At 39.4% G+C, this 6,033-nt stretch overlaps 1 protein-coding gene across 2 annotated transcripts; it reads right to left on the reverse strand.

The window, feature by feature from the left end:
- Window positions 1–5,691, reverse strand: OR2T27 (olfactory receptor family 2 subfamily T member 27). 2 transcript variants are annotated; one of them, NM_001386060.1, is made up of 3 exons: window positions 5,607–5,691; window positions 1,587–1,735; window positions 1–1,051 (listed from the first exon to the last, which is right to left on the reverse strand). In NM_001386060.1, the coding sequence occupies exon 3, from the start codon at window positions 1,045–1,047 to the stop codon at window positions 94–96; it is 954 nt and encodes a 317-aa protein (NP_001372989.1). In that variant the 5' UTR covers window positions 1,048–1,051; window positions 1,587–1,735; window positions 5,607–5,691; the 3' UTR covers window positions 1–93. The 2 variants fall into 2 exon arrangements, with proteins under 2 accessions (NP_001372989.1, NP_001001824.1); NM_001001824.2 differs by lacking the exon at window positions 1,587–1,735.
- Window positions 5,692–6,033: the final 342 nt, after the last annotated feature.

Below are 6,033 nucleotides of genomic sequence, written 5' to 3' on the forward strand. Positions count from 1 at the left end.
CACTTGTTTCCAGGCAGAGAATATTTAAATTCAAGGGCAATGATAAAGTCTTGTATCCTTCATTTCAAGTCTCTAGCAGCATATGAAATTTCTTTAGAAAGTGGTTACCTTTCCTGAGGACACACACCTCCCCACAACCTTCTGTAGGGCCCCTGTGACATCCTTGTTCCTAAGGCTGTAAATGAGTGGATTGAGCATGGGAGTAAGGATGGTGTAGAAGGCAGATACAGCTTTGTCCTGCTCAGGGGTGTGGTAAGAATGAGGCAGCACGTATGTGTACATGGCAGCCCCATAGAAGAGGCTGACAACCACCATGTGTGAGGAGCAGGTGGCCACAGCCTTTCCCCTCCCCTCTGCCTCGCTCATCCTATAAACAGTAATGAGAATTCTTGTGTAAGAGCCCGAGATGACAGAGAAAGGGATGAGGAGCATCATAATACAGCAGACATACATGGCTGTCTCGTAGGCTGATGTGTCCGTGCAGGAGAGCTTCAGAAGGGCAGGCACCTCGCAGAAGAAGTGGTTGATCTCCCGAGAGGCACAGAAGGGGAACTGCATGGTGACGGGGGTGAGCAAGAAACCATCGATAGACCCTCCCAGCCAGGCTGCCGCCACAATCAACCAGCAGATCTTGCGGCTCATGAGGACAGGATAGTGCAGAGGGTTGCAGATGGCTACGTAGCGATCATAGGACATGAGTCCTAGGAGGAAGAACTCAGCCCCTGCTAAGGTCAAGTAGAGGAAGTGTTGGGCAGTGCATCCAGCAAAGGAAATGGCTCTCTGGCTCATCACCTGGTCGACCAGCATTTTGGGCACAATGGTGGAAATATACAGGATGTCCCTGAGGGAGAGCTGGCTGAGCAGGAAGTACATGGGGGTGTGGAGGCGGGAGTCTATGTGGATGAGAATGATCTTGACCACGTTGCTGGCTATGGAGGTCAAAAAGACCAGGAGAATGAGGGCAAAGAGAAGCCAGGGGAAACGGGCGTTGCTGAACAAACCCAGAAGGATAAAGTCGGCATACACGGAATAATTGCTCTGCTCCATAGCTCTGTAGGGTACACAAAAGAGATATGACAAAGTTGGAAAGGTATCTGATTTACATAAAACATTATGATGTAGTCATGAACAAACCAAGGTCAAGTCGATCTTATTTCTTGAAGCTCATAATTTCCCTGAGAGAACTGCCTGAGCAGGATTGTGCTACATCTCATTATACCATCATTGTTCATTTAAGGATTTTCTTGATTTGGTGATTACTATTTAGAGTTCATGATCAAACAATCTTTTTGTTCATGACCATTTATTTCTGTCTTTCGAGTACCACCTTACATTGGTGAGGATGCATATAAGACATAAGAATGGAACCAGCCTGATTCAATAGGATAGGGTGGTGGGGAGGAAAGGAGGATTGTCCACATCCTACACTGCTCTCCTTATACTAGACTCTAAGTTCTCACACTTAGAATCCAGTTTGAAGATCACCACGAGTATATATTTGCCTATGGAAGAATAACTGCATTATTTGACCTAATTTACACCATTCTTGACACACTTGTACATTGTAAAATGAGTACTCAACTTACATGTATCAGGTGGAGTATTGCAGAATGAGCCTGTGTTGAATAAAAAGAGCTGAGTTCTGAGAAGTCATCCAAGAATTCATAGGAGGAAAAATCATGGGAGAAAACGTTGAGGGTCAAGTGGTGTTTGCTTTCCTTCTTGCAGCAGCAAACTACCAATTATTAACATACAACTCGTTAAAGTGTTAGAATCCCATTTAACTTATGAAAAAATAAACTAGTTTAAGTATTAGACCTAGTGTATCCCAAAAAGAAGGGATCTCTCATACTTGAAGTTAGATTCTGCATATGTATCCATATCAGTTAAATATTTTACCACAATTTAGGAACACTTGAGTTATTTGGATAGCTTCTCCCTGCATCATATAGATCTGCACTATCCAGGGTGGTAGCCATGAGGCTTATGAAGCTGTGGAGCCCCTGAAACACGACTGCTCCAAATCAAGATGTGCCATGAGCACAAAGTTAATTCAAACACCTGTTAAAAATATATGCAACACATCTCCTTAAAACTTTATATTATGGTAACTTTTAGATATATTTGGATAATATAGATTAAAATTAGTTTCACCTATTTTTTACATTTTTAATGTGGTTACTAGAAAATTTAGAATTCTCTGTGGCTCCCCTAGGATTTCTACTAGGCAGCACTGGTCTAGAGTTATCCCTGAGAATATGACAGCTCCAAATACCTTCATCCAAACAAGTCCTCCAGAGTTAAACACACCACAAATTAGAATTGAGCCAAAAAATTTAGGTGTGTACCAAATTAGAAAAATGGCTTTACTTGTATATGCATTCACCCTCAAATAGCAGTAAGAACATTAATAAGTGATTCGTAAATTTTACGTTTCCAAACAACTTTGTAAGATACTAGACCATTCTACAGTTGAAAATTAGGCTTAAGGAAACTTCCCCAAGGAGGAACATTGTTCTTTAAACAGTGACAGTGTAATTGTTCTATGCTGTTTTCCAACAGGACAAAGTAGACATCAATTCATTCCATAAATATTTCTCAAGAGGCACATTGGGTAAGCCAAAGTTTGATATTCTGAAAGGCCCTGAAAGAATGTAAGACATCATCTGTCTTCGAGCCTAGAATTGAGGCACATGAACGTGTGTTGTGTGACCACAGGTGCACTTTCAGAATGGTTTTAAGACCTCAGCAGGTTTGACTTATTTGGTATGTGAACAAAGGACAATAAAAATGATGGAAGCTGCAGCCCACTGGCTGGTAGACAGGAACTTCACACCAGGGCCCCTCAGTACAATTCCACCACAACCATGCCACAGTGGATGGATGGAAAACGATGAAAATTCAGATTTTTACTGATGAAACCCACATTATATCCTTATGCATTTTTCAGTTCTCATTCTTGAAATATTACCAGCTTTATGCCAGAGCTTTCCATCAGCTGATTTATAATGTATCTTTATTATTTTAAAAACTGTTAAACCAGTGGGAAAATTAAAGGCAAACATTTAGTAGCAATTCGTATGATGGAGAGTGCTGAATGCTCACCCAGACCTGGTTGTCCATAATTTAATAAGAACAAGATCCTTGGAGGGCCGTGCTTGTTATTTCACAGTAAATTCAGAGAATGATGGCTACCTACTGGGGACCAGCCACAGTGACTGCTATTGGTCCACTGGGAATATTAAAGCCCAAGATGAAAAAATTGGTCCAAAAATATCCTTATCAGGGCAGCTGTGTCCTGAACCCTGACCATGAATACTCCTGGCCCTGAAACTTGCTAATGAGACCCTGGGGATCTCCCCAGCTTACTTCACAAAGGGAAAGGGGAGATATGAGTGGCTCCATAACCACTCAGATTTTACAACCATCTTCCAACTCTGGTAGTGTTGATTCATTCACTGTATTTTAAGAGTTACCCAGTATAGCAACATTTAAGAATACTTGGAAAATAAAGGAATCAACTGGATTATGCCATGCCCCATGTAATAACTGTCTATGCATAATTCCAAACCTTAGTAAACGTCCAGTTCTATGTATACCTAATAATTAGCACATCTTTCCCAGTCTTTATAGAGAATATTGCTGTGATTGAATATGAGACACTCAGCTTGGTTCACATTCACGTTGTTGAGTTTGCTTATAATGCAAGTATTGTGAGGTGAATTCTCTGGCATAATTCATGGACAACGGTTTACTATGCTTTAGAAGCTTATCACCAAGTTGTTAAATGCTTAACAGTAAGAGAACACACTTGCGGCAGCATCATGCTTGCCCCAGCATTTAGCACTAGTATCAAAACTCACAATATGGATTTGATTATGAAAAAAATTGAACATAGTGTATATTTTGGCTATTTTGATTTTTCATGACCTTTTCTATATATAGGTGATTTGTCGAGATTAGTCTATAGATTTTTATTTTTTATTAATATTCTTTTGTTCTATTTAGTGCAGCTATTTTGCCCCCCGAGTTACATACATGTAATTGTAACTTTGATGTTTAGGCCAAAAAGTTTTGAAATATTTCAGACATTTTCATTCTGTGTGCTGGATTTTTGAAAAAAATATTTTCCATCGAGGTATGTGATTAATATACAATTTAAAATTTTTAATGTAATTTCTATGCACTTAAAATCTTTGGTCTAGACATTAAAACTATGCAACCATTGGTTTATGAGATCAACAATGATAAATTTGTACTTTAAGATCATGCCAGTGAATTCTATCTAATTGGAGTTCTTCAAATAAGCAGGAGTTCAAGTGTGAATGATGAGCAGGAATGACCTAAGTAACAAGGAGAACTGTTGGAAATGTGGGAACACTGTCATGGGTAAAATTAGTTTTCACCCTTGTTGCATGTACAAATTCTGGTATAAAAAGCGAGTACTAAAAATGAGTGCCAGGTTAACCTTAAGACTGTGATAGCGACAGTTAGCTTTGGGAATCTCACCCTTTGCTGTCCATTATGTTTTTCTCTTCAATAGCAGGTCCAGCAGCAGGTAGCCAAGTTTTCTACTTTTTCATTTTTGTTGTCGTTCTGTCAGACCCTGCTCTGCATCAAAGATTGGCACAATTCTTGGTGACCATCTAACTCAGAATACGTTTGAGTGCTAAAAGGCTAAGCTAGACAGGACATGAGGACAACAGGCATAAGAAAGGGAATATCTTGAGAAGACAGGGCTAAATGGTGACCCTGACTATAAGACATTTAATTCTCTGTACAATCAGATTCATTATGTTTCCTCCCCAGCAGTATTTTCACATGAAGTGTCACTTCTAGAAAATGGCTTTTCTTCCACAACTAAAGTAAAATCACTTGGGGAATCTTTAGAACGATAGAGAAGTTTTGATTAAGGCCGAGGGATTGTCTTGAAGCAGACCAAGGGCATGATCACCTTCAGTCTCTACAGAAGTTGAACTGAGTTCTTCCCCTGTCTATTCCTAACCCTTGAAACATTCTTGGCATGTTTAATGTTCACAATGCTACATGACATGGTTTTTAATCAAAGCTGGCTTTATATTCTATCTTCATCACTGATAAGCTTCTGGACGTCTGGCAAGCCACTCACATTCTTTTCAGCTTCTGGGAACTTCTAAGTATTAAGTATGCTGCAATGGTTTCTCGGAGCAGGATATGGAGGGTCTTCCTAACTAAACCATTTTTAGAGATGCTTATGAGGTACCTAAACAAGGTGGAATACTACGATTTAGATAAGCTCTTTATGAAGATTTTAAAATTATAGGTGAATATATGTTGCAATGATAAAATCTGTTGGAATCATTATGCAGACAGATCTGCATAGAATTCAAGTAATCTGCTACATTCTGATGTACAGAAAAGATAAGAGTCCATAACTACTAAGAAACGAGATTGAATTATCTAAGATTTATATATTAGTACCATCCACAAGTATCTGCAGTTCAAAGTCAGATGTATCAACTTCAACATTCTCCAGTATTTCTCTGGTTTGAACCAAAACTTTCTAGGAAGTCCAGAATCTATTTAAAGCATCCTGCGATTGATCAGCATCAAGACTGCAAACTTACCTTACACAGTATCTTCCCCAAACACGATGATCTGAATATTTAGAGAGAAACCTTACAGAACTAAGGTAGTACATGCAATTGTTCAGCATTTCCTTTTATGTAGTAAGTATGGGGAACTAAGAGGCATACATCAGACTTTCTAAACTGGAGGTATTCTATGTTCTGTATTTCAAACTTGTTTTCTGAACTGAAACAGTACAGGCAGGGAGAGTATGAATTCAAACAAGAAGGTACAGTGGATTAGGCGTGGGAATTACATCTTGTTGGCAGAAGGATAAGGGTCAGTCCCTAACTTATTGAGACTTTTTAAAATACAGTGATAGGTGAATCCTTTGAAGATCTAGAAATAGAACAGCCTGAATCTGTAAATGCCTAACGTCAGTTGACAGCAGCTGCATTATGCAGGCTGTTAAGAAGATAGAGATCC

This window comes from Homo sapiens, chromosome 1 (genome assembly GCF_000001405.40).
Source record: "Homo sapiens chromosome 1, GRCh38.p14 Primary Assembly".
Taxonomy (NCBI): Eukaryota; Metazoa; Chordata; class Mammalia; order Primates; family Hominidae; genus Homo; species Homo sapiens.